Below are 14801 nucleotides of genomic sequence, written 5' to 3'. Positions count from 1 at the left end.
GAAACCCTGCCTCTACTGAAAATACAAAAATTAGCCAGGCATGGGGTGGTGGGCGCCTATAGTCCCAACTACTAGGGAGGCTGAGGCAGGTGAATCACTTGAACCCAGGAGGCGGAGGTTGCAGTGAGCCGAGATCGCACCACTACACTCCAGCCTGGGTGACAGAGTGAGACACTGTCTCAAAAAACAGTAGATATGTGAAACACCCAAACAGGATACAACTAATAAATGTTAAGTTGAAGGGAATATTTAAAAGCAGATTATTCCCAGTTTTACAAAAGGGTAACTAAATATCAAAGACTTTTAAAAAACCCATCTAGGTTTTTTGAATCTTTCCCTTATACTCAACTCTATCACTAATATGTTTGTAAAAACTAACTCATTATGAATATATTCTGATTCAATTAGAAATAGATATGTATATGAATATGTGTGTTTTTCTCATTTAATAATCTTTCATTAATGGTTAGTTTATAAAATTATATATTAATTCTTGTGTAAAATAAATAATTGACATTCAAGACAAAAATAATCTGAATAAATCAAGCATACACAAAAATAAAATTGAAATATGTTCTAACTAATAATCTCATAAATATTTTCAAACTAGCTAGTTTTATATACTGTTATTGGCACTTTAATGTATTGATCACAGTTTACTTGAGCAAATCCCAAGAGAATGTGTCTTAATTCACTAAAATAAAATGTGTATCTCTAAATCTCTGTTTGTTATTCCAGTATTTTGCATGACAGTTCTTTATTGGTTGTTTATAGTCTTTTTTTAACTAATTGTTAAAAACAAAATGCCATTGAAAATAATTGATCTTGATTCTGTTCCAAGATGGCCGAATAGGAACAGCTCTGGTCTGCAGCTCCCAGCGTGATCGATGCAGAAGATGGGTGATTTCTACATTTCCAACTGAGGTATCTGGTTCATCTCACTGGGACTGGTTGGACAGCGGGTGCAGTCCATGGAGGGGGAGCCAAAGCAAAGCAGGGCATTGCCTCCCTGGGAAGTGCAAGGGGTTGGGGGATTTTCCTTTCCTAGCCAAGGGAGGCCCTGACAGACTGTACCTGGAAAATCGGGACACTCACACACAAATACTGCACTTTTCCAGTGGTCTTAGAAAAAATAGAAGTGCAAGGGGTTGGGGGATTTCCCTTTCCTAGCCAAGGAAACCCGTGACAGACTGTACCTGGAAAATCGGGACACTCACACACAAATACTGCACTTTTCCAGTGGTCTTAGTGGTGTGTCCAGTCTCCAGGACACACCAGGAGACTGTATCCTGTGCCTGGCTTGGCAGTTACCACGCCCACAGAGCCTTGCTCACTGCTAGTGTGGCAGTCTGAGATCGACCTGTGAGGCAGCAGCCTGGCAGGGGGAGGGGCGTCCGCCAATGCTGAGGCTTGAGTAGGTAAACAAAGCAGCTGGAAAAGCTTGAACTGGGCAGAGACCACTGCAGCTCAGCAAGGCCTGCTGCTTCTGTAAACTCCACCTCTGGGGGCAGGGCATAGCTGAACAAAAGGCAGCAGAAACTTCTGTAGACATAAATGTCCCTGTCTGACAGCTCTGAAGAGAGCAGTGGTTCTCCCAGCATGGTGTTTGAGCTCTGAGAACGGACAGATTGCCTCCTCAAGTGGGTCCCCGTCCCACGTGTAGCCTAACTGGGAGACACCTCCCAGTAGGGGGAAAACTGACACCTCATACAGGTGGGTGCCCCGCTGGGATGAAGCTTCCAGAGGAAGGAGCAGGCAGCAATATTTGCTGTTCTGCAATATTTGCTGTTCTGCAGCCTCTGCTGGTGATACCCAGGCAAACAGGGTCTGGACTGGACCTCCAGCAAAATCCAACAGACCTGCAGCTGAGGGACCTGATTGTTAGAAGGAAAACTAAAAAACGAAAGAAATAGCATCAACATCCACAAAAAGGACATCCACAACAAAACCCCATCTGTAGGTCACCAACATCAAAGACCAAAGGTAGATAAAACCACAAAGATGGGGAGAAACCAGAGCAGAAAAACTGAAAATTCTAAAAACCAGAGTGTCTCTTCTCCTCCAAAGGATCATAGCTCCTCACCAGCAATAGAAGAAAGCTGGACAGAGAATGACTTTGATAAGCTGACGGAAGTAGGCTTCAGAAGATTGGTAATAACAAACTTCTCCAAGCTAAAGGAGGATGTTTGAACCCATCGCAAGGAAGCTAAAAACCTTGAAAAAAGATTAGATGGATGGCTAACTAGAATAAACAGTGTAGAGAAGACCTTAAATGACCTGATGGAGCTGAAAACCATGGCACGAGAACTACGTGATGCATGTACAAGCTTCAATAGCCGATTTGATCATGTGGAAGAAATGGTATCAGTGATTGAAGATCAAATTAATGAAATAAAGAGAGAAGAAAGTTTAGAGAAAAAAGAGTAAAAAGAAATGAACAAAGCCTCCGAGAAATATGGGACTATGTGAAAAACCAAATCTACGTTTGATTGCTGTACCTGAAAGTGAGGGCGATAATGGAATCAAGTTGGAAAACACTCTTCAGGATATTATCCAGGGGAACTTCCTTAACCTAGCAAGGCAGGTCAACATTCAATTTCAAGAAATGCAGAGAACACCAAAAAAATACTCCTCGAGAAGAGCAGGACACATAATTGTCAGATTCACCAAGGTTGAAATGAAGGAAAATATGTTAATGGCAGCCAGAGAGAAAGGTTGGGTTACCCACAAAGGGAAGCCCATCAGACTAATAGTGGATCTCTCGGCAGAAACTCTACAAGCCAGAAGAGAGTGGGGGCCAATATTCGACATTCCTAAAGACAAGAATTTTCAACCCAGAATCTCATATCCAGCCAAACTAAGCTTCATAAGTGAAGAAGAATTAAAATCCTTTACAGACAAGCAAATGCTGAGAGATTTTGTCACCACCAGGTCTGCCTTACAAGAGCTCCTGAAGGAAGCACTAAACATGAAAAAGAACAACCGGTACCAGCCCCTGCAAAAACATGCCAAATTGTAAAGACCATCTATGCTAGGTAGAAACTGCATCAACTAACGGGCAAAATAACTAGCTAACATCACAATAACAGGATCAAATTCACACATAACAATATTAACCTTAAATGTAAATGGGCTAAGTGCTCCAATTAAAAGACACAGACTGGCAAATTGTATAAAGAGTCAAGACCCATCAGTGTGCTGTATTCCGGAGACCTATCTCACGTGCAGAGACACACATAGGCTCAAAATAAAGGGATGGAGGAATATCTACCAAGCAAATGGAAAGGAAAAAAAAAAGCAGGGGTTGTAATCCTAGCCTCTGATAAAACAGAATTTAAACCAACAAGGATGAAAAGAGACAAAGAAGGCCATTACATAATGGTAAAGGGATCAATTCAACAAGAAGAGCTAACTATCCGAAATATATATGCACCCAACAGGAGAACCCAGATTAATAAAGCCAGTCCTTAGAGACCTACGAAGAGACTTAGACTCCTGCACAATAATAATGGGAGACTTTAACACCCCACTGTCATTATTAGACAGATTAATGAGACAAAAGGTTAACAAGGTTATCCAGGACTTGAAATCAGCTCTGCACCAAGCGGACCTAATAGACATCTACAGAACTCTCCACTTCAAATCAACAGAATATACATTCTTCTCAGCATCACATAGCACTTATCCCAAAATTGACCACATAGTTGGAAGTAAAGCACTCCTCAGCAAATGTAAAAGAACAGAAATCACAACAAACTGTCTCTCATACCACAGTGCAAGCAAGTTAGAACCCAGGATTAAGAAACTCACTCAAAACCGCACCACTACATGGAAACTGAACACCCTGCTCCTGAATGACTACCAGGTAAATAACAAAATGAAGGCAGAAATAACGATGTTCTTTGAAACCAAGGAGAACAAAGCCACAACTTACCAGAATCTCTGGGACACATTTAAAGCAGTGTGTAGAGGGAAATTTATAGTACTAAATGACCACAAGAGAAAGAAGGAAAGATCTAAAGTCAACACTCTAAGATCACAATTGAAAGAACTAGAGAAGCAAGAGCAAACACATTCAAAAGCTAGCAGAAGGCAAGAAATAACTAAGATCAGAACAGAACTGAAGGAGATAGAGACAACAAAAGCCCTTCAGAAAATCAATGAATCCAGGAGCTGGTTTTTTGAAAAGATTAACAAAATAGACAGACTGCTAGCAAGACTAATAAAGAAGAAAAGAGAGATGAATCAAGCAGATGCAATAAAAAATGATAAAGGGGATATCACCACCGATCCCACAGAAATACAAACTACCATCAGAGAATACTATAAACACCTCTACGCAAATAAACTAGAAAATCTAGAAGAAATGGATAAATTCCTCGACACATACATCCTCCCAAGACTAAACCAAGAAGAAGTTGAATCTCTGAATAGACCAATAACAGGCTCTGAAATTGAGGCAATAATTAATTGCCTACCACCCAAAAAAGTTCAGGACCAGACAGATTCACAGCAGAATTCTACCAGAGGTTCAAAGAGGAGCTGGTCACATTCCTTCTGAAACTATTCCAATCAATAGAAAAAGAGTGAATACTCCCTAACTCATTTTATGAGGCCAGCATCATCCTGGTACCAAAGACTGGCAGAGACACAACAAAAAAAAGAGAATTTTAGACCCATATCCCTGATGAACATCGATGTGAAAATCCTCAATAAAATACTGGCAAACCAAATCCAGCAGCACATCAAAAAGCTTATCCACCACAATCAAGTTGGCTTCATCCTTGGGATGCAAGGCTGGTTCAACATATACAAACTAATAAATGTAATCCATCACATAAACAGAACCAATGACAAAAACACGTGATTATCTCAATAGATGCAGAAAAGGCCTTTGACAAAATTCAACAGCGCTTCATGCTAAAAACTCTCAGTAAACTAGGTATTGATGGAACATATGGCAAAATAATAAGAGCTACTCATGACAAACCCACAGCCAATATCATACTGAATGGGCAAAAACTGGAAGCATTCCCTTTGAAAATCAGCACAAGACAGGGATGCCCTCTCTTACCACTCCTATTCAACATAGTGTTGGAAGTTCTGGCCAGGGCAATCAGGCAGGAGAAAGAAATCAAGGGTATTCAATTAGGAAAAGAGGAAGTCAAATTGTTGCTGTTTGCAGATGACATGATTGTATATTTAGAAAACCCCATCGTCTCAGCCCAAAATCTCCTTAAGCTGATAAGCAACTTCAGCAAAGTCTCAGGATACAAAATCAATGTGCAAAAATCACAAGCATTCCTATACACCAATAACAGACAGACAGAGAGCCAAATCATGAGTGAACTCCCCTTCTCAATTACTTCAAAGAGAATAAAATACCTAGGAATCCTATTTACAAGGGATGTGAAGAATCTCTTCAAGGAGAACTACAAACCACTGCTCAGCGAAATAAAAGAGGACACAAACAAATGGAAGAACTTTCCATGCTCATGGAGAGGAAGAATCAATATCGTGAAAATGGCCATACTGCCCAAGGTAATTTATAGAGTCAATGCCATCCGCATCAAGTTACCACTAACTTTCTTCACAGAATAGGACAAAACTACTTTAAAGTTCATATGGAATCAAAAAAGGGGCTGCATTGCCAAGACAATCCTAAGCAAAAAGAACAAAGCTGGAGGCATCAGGCTACCTAACTTCAAACTATACTACAAGGCTATACTACAAGTAACCAAAACAGCATGGTACTGGTACCAAAACAGAGATATAGACCAATGGAACAGAACAGAGGCCTCAGAAATAACACCACACATCTACAACCATTTGATCTTTGACAAACCTGAGAAAAACAAGAAATGGGGAAAGGATTCCCTATTTAATAAATGGTGCTGGGAAAACTGCCTGGCCATATGTAGAAAGCTGAAACTGGATCCCTTACTTACACCTTATACAAAAATTAATTCAAGATGGATTAAAGACTTAAATGTTAGACCTAAAAACCATAAAAACCCTAGAAGAAAACCTAGGCCTTAGCATTCAGGACAAAGGCATGGGCAAGTACTTCATGACTAAAACACAAAAAGCAATGGCAACAAAAGCCAAAATAGACAAATGGAATCTAATTAAACTAAAGAGCTTCTGCACAGCAAAAGAAACTACCATCAGAGTGAACAGGCAACGTACAGAATGGGAGAAAATCTTTGCAATCTACCCATCTGATAAAGGGCTGATAGCCAGAATCTACAAAGAACTTAAACAAATCTACAAGAAAAAACCCCATCAAAAAGTGGGCAAAGGATATGAACAGACACTTCTTAAAAGAAGACATTTATTCAGCCAACAGACACATGAAAAAATGCTGATCATCACTGGTCATCAGAGAAATGCAAATCAAAACCACAATGAGATACCATCTCACACCAGTTAGAATGGCGATCATTAAAAAGTCAGGGAACAACAGATTCTAGAGAGGATGTGGAGAAATAGGAACTCTTTTACACTGTTGTTGGGAGTGTAAACTAGTTCAACCATTGTGGTAGACAGTGTGGCAATTCCTCAAGGATCTAGAACCAGAAATACCATTTGACCCAGTGATCTCATTACTGGGTATATACCCATAAGATTATAAATCATGCTGCTATAAAGATACATGCACACATAGGTTTATTGTGGCAGTATTCACAATAGCAAAGACCTGGAACTAGCCCAAATGTCCGTAAGTGATAGACTGGATTAAGAAAATGCGGCACACATACACCATGGAATACTATGCAGCCATAAAAAAGGATGAGTTCTTGTCCTTTGCAGGGTCATGGATGAACCTGGAAACCATCATTCTGAGAAAACTATCACAAGGACAGAAAACCAAACACTGCATGTTCTCACTCACAGGTGGGAATTGAACAATGGGAACACTTGGACACAGGGTGGGGAACATCACACACTGGGGCCTGTTGTAGGGTGGGAGGTAGGGGAGGGGTAGCATTAGGCAAAATACATAATGTAAATCACGAGTTAATGGGTGCAGCAAACCAATATGACACATGTATACCTATGTAACAAACCTGCATGTTGTGCGCATGTACCCTAGAACTTAAAGTATATATATATATATAAAAAGAAAATAATCGATCTTGGCCAATGTAGGGTTTTCCAGCTGCTTTATTCATATATGGTTATTGCATGGTGTTGTAAATGGAATAACGGCCCCCAGAGATGACGCCATACTAATCCCTGCAACATGGATTACCATAACTTGCAAGATGTTACCTTACATGAATAAACAGACTGTGCCGCTATCATTAGGAGTCTAGTTGCCCTGAAACTTTATTAACTTTCCACAGTGTTCGTGAGCTACCATTCAACCTTAGGCACAGAGTGTTCTGCTGAATTCTTTCACTTTGGAGACTCTGACTTGGTCCATCTGTCCATCTACTCTGATAACCTCAATATGTTGTCTTGTGCTTTTGGAATAAGCAACGGGCAGAAAGGGAAAGGCAGCAATATTCTGAGAACTTGAACAATAAGATATGTGCTTTTTCTGATTAAATAAAATGTGCTAAATTTTGAAACAAGTTTATTTTGACAACTTAGTTTCTAAATGTCATTGCCCACTAAATGGAACCAGGACTTATTGGAGGTATGGCTGATTCTAGTTCTGGGGCAGTGGAAACATGAGTTAAGCCTGGGATATTTTTTGTGTCACAAAGCAACCGAATTGTTCAAAGACTAACAAAATCTTACAGACTGTACACAGAGCCAGCTTGTATGGGTTACGCTGGCCAAACTTAATTTGTCAAGCTTCTAAAATATAATTGTTGGTCTGACAATAGCCATCATCTCTCAAAATGAAGAGAGCTTGTTCATGACATGAACAGGTATGGATAAGAGAAAGCATGGAAATATTTATACCATAACTGAAGCCTATACATTTTGAACCCTTTTCAATCACTGGAATTTTCTAGTGTTAGTAACATTTGTTATTTTTTTTTTTTGCAAATGTTAATAATGTTTTAACCCCTTGTAATTGAAAGAGACCATGACGTAACTGTTTACTGAAAAACTATCGCAGTTCCAGCTGTTTTAAAAAGACTCCATTTCTAGAGGTTTAAATTTCATTTTGCTTTACTTTGTTTTGTTTTTCTAGTGGGGAAGGGTCTCACTTTGTTGCCTGGGTTGGAGTGCACTGGTGCAGTCATAACTCACTGAAGCTTTGAACTCCTATTTCAGCCTTGCCAGTGGCGGGGACTACAGGTGCACATCACTGTGCCTGGCTCTAGAGGTTTAAATTAAGAGTTGAAGATGTGGAATAATATTTGATAACATAACATCTTTTGAAAAACCTACCACAGATTCTATTTCTTGATAGGATGGAGTAGCTGCTATCAACATAGCATCCCACTGAAAAAAAATTTAGAAAATTTTACAAAATTTATTTTCAGAATGCTGGAAATCACCCAGTACAGAACTGTGATGACTGAAAAAAGGAAAAAACCCTCAATACTTCAAAATAATAAAGCAAAGTCAATGAAAGCCCAGCTGTTTATTGGGAAGCCTTTTCTAGACTGTGCAAGGAGGGAGAACCCAGGAAGAACTCAGTGGTCTTCTTTAGTTGAGACTAGTAAGGTCAGTCTTGGTGACTATGGTGGCCAGAAGTTACTGGACATAGTAGCAGAGAGAAAGTGGTATGAAGAGAAAGACTATGGAAGTTTCCTTGAGTGTTTGGTTGAATACTGAGGTGTGTAAGCATAGGATGGAATCGCATTGGGCTGGGCAAAGAACAATTACTGAAGAGCTATAAAGATGAAGAATTACAAGAGTTCACACAGGACTGTGAGGTGCCATCATTTATACCACAGGCTTCCAAAAGAATCGTTTTCCAAATTCTAAGCCGCTCACAAATACACATACCTCTCAGAAGTATGGACTTTTTACAACTTAGAAAATGATTTATTGACTCAAGCATATTAATTTAAATAAAGATAAATATTAAAAACTTCCTTATAAGACATTTTAACTGTAATTGGACTAATTTGCACTTTAATACCTCAGTTTTGTAACCATTTATTGTCAACTAACCTGACAATATAAACAACAAACAGTTGTTACATTAATGGATTATCTTCAAAGTGTATTCTTCTCTAATATTTCTTCTTATTACGTACATTTGATTTATATAGGTAGGCAAACTATGTTATTGCACATCTACTTAGACACAATTGGAACCGAAAATCAAATAAATAATGATAGAAGTAGTGGTGAAACCTATATTTAACCTATATTTAATCTATAAACTATAGATTTATTTCTTTAAATAATTAGCAAAACTGAGAGAGTGGTATTTTGCTTACTAGTGAAGCTGCATATGGGAGGAGTGGACCAGCCCCGTTCTACACACGAAATGTTTTTCTCATTGTTTTGAAGGCTGTATCCTGTGTTGCAAATAATTTGTACAGTATCACCTTCCAGATGTATTAGTCCTGAAGATTCAGAATGACCATTTTTCACAAAAGGAAAGGAACACATTCCTAAGGAACAAAAATTGATTAATGTACAAGATGGAAGTAGCAAAAAAAGTGCATTTAAAAATATTTCATTAAGAAAGGAAAACTTTGAAAACTGACATCATGTGTAAATATTTTCAAAAGAATTTGGGTCATGCTACCGTATAAATGATGAAATATATTTTTTGTTCCTATATATATATATACGAAAGTTAATATTTCATGTTGTTGCTGTATGGTTTTTATAATAAAAATCTTGTGTTTATAAACTCTTCTAGCACCAAAACAATATCTTCATATAAATATTTCTCGCAATTCTCATAAATGTTTCTTACAAAAGGAGAAAGACCATTACTATCTCCTTTGTTGCCTCATCTATTCTCTCTCCCATTGTTTTTCTTTTTTAATGCACCTGTTATCATTGGAGTCTGGTCTCTACATTTATTGGAGGATTAATATAGCTACACTTTGAAGGACCAAATAAATGATTTATTGAAAATATAAAAGTTAAAATACCAAACCTTACCTCGCAATATGCAAGAGAACGGTAAATTCAAAACAGAATATCTATATAAAATGACTTATTTTAAAGGAAAACTATGATCAGGCTGCTACCGAATGAATATTAGTAAAGAACTATTAGCAGTCAAATATATTAATCATCAGTTTAAAAAAATTAATGTATTTCAACATGTAGGGCATTTCCAGGTAATGCAAGACAGTTGATATATTTATTCTTCATTGATTCTCATAGGAGGGGTCTCAAAATAGGAGGACTACATCTCCCATTTTTCCAGCTCCTCTGGTCATTGCCCTTGTGATTATCAAGACCTTATGATCTTGTCCGGCACATCCTTCTCTATTCACTGAATGACATCCATTTAATGAACAGGGCATTTACTCACTGAGACACTTCGGTGTTGGTGACCATCCTTCTTCTGTGCATGTTATGCGAGTCCAAAAGGATTTTGAAGGAGACACAAAATTATATTCACAGGAGTAATAGAAAACTTCCCCTGTAGGAACTTGGGAAAAAGGGTTATAATCTTCTTCATCATACAGAAATCCATGGTGTATTTTTGGAAAATCACAAAGTGTTCCTGGGAAAAATAACACAAAACTGAAGAATTAAATAAAGAGCTACATCGATGAATCACTAGATTATATTTTAGTCATCTCATTTATAGTTTTGTTTTTCATTCAGCTTAAATGCCTTTAGCTTAAATGCTTTCCAGTGTACTAATTTGGAATGAAGAAAGATCCCTAAATAAGAATAGAAGAGTATTTGAGGAGATCTTTTTTTTTTTGAGAGGGAGTTTCAGGTTTTACTCTTGTTGCCCAGGCTGAAGTACAATCACGCAAATCTTGGCTCACTGCAGCCTCCACTGGGTTCAAGTGATTCTCCTGCCTCAGCCTCCTGAGTACCTGAGATTACAGGTGCCTGCCACCACACCTGACTAATTTTTTGTATTTTTGGTAGAGACAAGGTTTCACCATATTGGCCAGACTGGTGTCAAACTCCTGACCTCAGGTGATCCATGCGCCTCGGCCTCCCAAACTGCCGGGATTACAGGCATGAACCACCATGCCGGACCGACGAGGTCATTGTTAATGAATATAAAATTTATATTTTGGAATGATATGAAATATGAACTCTTCTGCAATGTCTTCAAGAACAATATCCTCACACAACAATTTAAGAATGAAGGCAGACTGTAAGAGTAGCAAATCTCCCTGGTCTATGTAGTGTACAGTAGAGGAGTGATAGGATTGTTCTCAGCTCTCAGATTTATTTCTTTTTCTATTCTCATCAACTGTCATAGGTATTTCCACCAGAAAAATCTGTCCTATTTTTTTTTCTGGTGCAGTAAAAATGTTGGGTAGGTAATTTGATTTTTTGTTTATTAATATTCTGATTACTTTCTGGTTACAAAGTTTATGTGGTTTCAGTGGAAATAATTTAAAGAGTATAAGAAAATCACTAAGAACAACTCAACCGAGATAAAATTAGAGCTAAATTCTGGTAAATGCTGTATACATAAATGTTTATTATACTGCAAGTCCAAAATATCTGAAAAAGAAAAAACAATAAAAAGATAATAAAACAATAAAAACAATGCAATTAAAAATACAATATAACAATTATTTATATAGTATTTACATTATGTTAGATATTATAAATAATCTAGAGATGATTTAAATTATATGAGAGGATGTGCATATGTTATATGCAAATACTACGCCATTCTCTCTTAGAGACTTGAGCATCTGTGGATTTTGGTATCTGCTGGGGGTGAAAAGAGTCCTGGAACAATTCCTTAAGGATACTAATGATACTGAGGATACTACTGGATATATTTATATAGACACTCACACATACATCCATATGCACTATGGTGCAAGATATGGTAAAACAATGTAGAAAATGGGTGAAATATTCATGTTTTGACTCTATTTTTTCTTGTGTATATATATATTTATATATACACATATTTTTTATTAGACTTAATTTTTTATTTACAGTTTTTTTACTGTAAAATTGAGTGGAAGGTACAGAGATTTCCTATATACCACTTCCTCTTCCCTGCCACATGAATAGCCCCCTTCACTATCAGTATTATTGTCATTAAAGCCCATAGTTTACATTAGGGTTTACTCTTGATATTGTACATTCTATGGATTTGATGTACTTTATCTTTGAATGCTGTTTTAGCTCGAGATATTTCCTCAATATAGTGTGCTCATTTTTTAGCTCAAGATATTTCCTGAATATAGCATTGCTGCATAAGAAATTGTTTTGTTTTTCACCTTATTTAGAAAAAGCATGCAGAAATTCAGCTGACAAATCAAGGGAAATTTCTCTTTTTTAACTACCTAGAAGTAATATTTAATGTTGCACAATATTTGAAATAATTCTTGTGGTATTTAACCTTGTGAAACCTTAAATTTATTACCTAACTGTTTAAAAATTGACATTAGATAGTTTTGGAGAAGATACTGAGGGAAAGACTCCCTCGTGTCTTGATAGTATTAACCTATCATAACTCCTTTTAAATATCATTTACTTTTTGAAAATTGCAAAATTATAGTACTTGATTTTCATGCATATGTACTTACATATTCTTCGCTATCCAGAATAACTTAGTTCTCACCATCCAGTTGTATTCTACCTATCCTTTAGAACTTGCTCTACAACATTCATCGTATAACCATTGTGCACATCCGCAATGGTGCTAGGAGTGTTATCGTCCTTTGGCAAGCCTGCCGTTACACAACAACCCACTCCAAAAGCAGAAAATAATTTTCCTTGTCTCGACATTCTGATAGAATACTGTGAATATATTTCTTCTGGGATACACACACACACACACACACACACACACACACACACACGTATATATACAGACATACAGTCATTTACCACATAATGACGTTTTGGTCAATGACTGATCACTTATATCACAGTGGTCCCATAAGATTATAATGTAGCTGAAAAATTCCTATCAACTGATGACCACCACAACATCATAATCCAATGTATTACTCACATGTTTGTGGCAGTGCTGGTATAAACAAACTTACAGCATTGCCAGTCATATAAACAATAGCACACACAATTATGTATAGTACACAATACTTGATAATGATAATAAATGACCATGGTACTGGTTAATGTATTTAATGTACTATAGTTGTTATCATTATTTTATAGTTCACTTCTTCTACTTATTAAAAAAAAATAACTGTAAAACATCCTCAGGCGGGTCCTTCAGGAACTATTCCAGAAGAAGGCTTTGTTATCATAGGAGAGGACAGCTCCATGCATGTTACTGCCCTAAAGACCTTCTAGTGGAACAAGAGTGAGGAGGAAGACAGTGATACTGATGATCCTGACCCTCCGTAGGCCGAGGTTAATGTGTGTGTTTGTGTCTGCTTTTAACAAAAAGGTGTAGAAGGTAAATAAATAAATAATTTAAAAGATAAAAATCTTACAGAATAAGGATAGAAAGAAAAAATATTTTGTACATCTATACAAGGTGTGTTTTAAGCTAAAACAAAAGAGTTACAAGTTAAAAGATTTTCAGTTGATAAAGTAGAAAGCTTATCATAAATTAATTTATTATTGAAGAAAAGTTTTAAAAATAAATTTAGTCTATCCTGGGTGCACCAGAAGCTCAGTAATTAGCACTAAAGAACTTATCCATGTAACCAAAAACCACCTGCTCCCCCCAAAATATTGAAATAAATATATAAATAAAATAAATTTACCTAGCTCAAGTATTCAGTGTTCATGAAGTTTACAGTAGTGTATGGTAATGTGCTAAGCCTTCATATTTGCACACCACTCACTCAGTGACTTACCCAGAACAACTTTCAGTCCTGCAAACCCTATTGACGGTAAGAGCCCTATACAAGTCTGCCATTCTTAATATTTTATATTGTATTTTTATTGTACCTTTTATATGTTTAGGTAAACACATTCTTACATTTGTGCTACAGTTGCCCACAGTATTCAGTACAGTAACATGCTGTACAGGTTTGCAGTCTAGGAGTGACAGGCCGTATAGCTTAGTTAGGTAGTAGGCTATACAATCTAGGTTTGTGTAAGTACACTCTATGATGTTTGCAGGAGGACGAAATTGCCTATAGACACACTTCTCAGAACGTTTTCCTATCATTAAGTGATGTATGAGTGTACACACACACACACACACACACACACACACAGACAATTACCTATATATAAAACCTTGCAATTTATTTGCCTATTTACATTTTGCTTTTCTTTTAGGACACTCTAAGTAGTAGTGAGGGGTGGGTGGCGTTGTCATATTCTTTCCAGCTTCTTTGCTACAGCATGAAGCACAATATATTGCTTGATTCATGTTTTGCTACTGGAAGCATGCAGTTTTCTATTTGTACAAAAGTGTTGCTTTCGTCTGTTATTTCTGCTGTTTGGCCAGTTTCTAAATAGACACCAAAACAAAAGTGTAATGCACACTTACAGGTCATTTAACACCTAGACAACTTTTAATAGAATTTCACTAAAGTTTATCCTGGGACTGGACTGAAGCTTGAAAGTTTTGTGGGGTTAGGAATTGTCAAAATTCTACATATTATCCTCATAATTTTCACTTATCTTCCTCTGCTTCCACCCCCCTTTAGAAATCCTTGTGTAATGCCATTTGTAACAGATGTTTAAGCCACTTAATAAATATCATAAACACAGACTTAAGAAAAATCAAATACACTCATGCAATCGCACTCTTGTGATTATAGCTCAGTACTAAA

General features: G+C 37.1%; 1 protein-coding gene across 2 annotated transcripts in view, besides 2 other annotated features; it reads right to left on the bottom strand.

Moving 5' to 3' along the window:
• Positions 1 to 14801, bottom strand: part of CFHR5 (complement factor H related 5) — a 34645-nt gene that overhangs the window by 16185 nt on the left and 3659 nt on the right. For both annotated transcript variants that reach the window (XM_011510020.3, NM_030787.4), the window contains exons 2-3: positions 10415 to 10609; positions 9357 to 9533 (exon numbers count right to left, since the gene is read on the bottom strand). In XM_011510020.3, coding sequence (XP_011508322.1) covers positions 9357 to 9533; positions 10415 to 10609 — 372 coding nt within the window. The remainder of the gene's footprint in view (positions 1 to 9356; positions 9534 to 10414; positions 10610 to 14801) is intronic.
• Positions 1244 to 1843: an enhancer, noted in NCBI's record as "NANOG-H3K27ac-H3K4me1 hESC enhancer chr1:196960781-196961380 (GRCh37/hg19 assembly coordinates)". NCBI's record gives its function as "activates a minimal SCP1, AML or CMV promoter by ChIP-STARR-seq in naive and primed H9 embryonic stem cells {active_cell/tissue: H9 hESC(naive and primed)}" and the evidence as "EXISTENCE:reporter gene assay evidence [ECO:0000049][PMID:30033119]".
• Positions 1261 to 1555: an enhancer, noted in NCBI's record as "tiled region #826; HepG2 Activating DNase unmatched - State 1:Tss". NCBI's record gives its function as "activates a minimal TATA promoter and a strong SV40 promoter by Sharpr-MPRA in HepG2 cells {active_cell/tissue: HepG2}" and the evidence as "EXISTENCE:reporter gene assay evidence [ECO:0000049][PMID:27701403]".

This window comes from Homo sapiens, chromosome 1 (genome assembly GCF_000001405.40).
Source record: "Homo sapiens chromosome 1, GRCh38.p14 Primary Assembly".
Lineage (NCBI taxonomy): Eukaryota > Metazoa > Chordata > Mammalia > Primates > Hominidae > Homo > Homo sapiens.
Note: the sequence above shows the minus strand (reverse complement) of the source record. Positions and strands in the feature narration are given on the sequence as shown.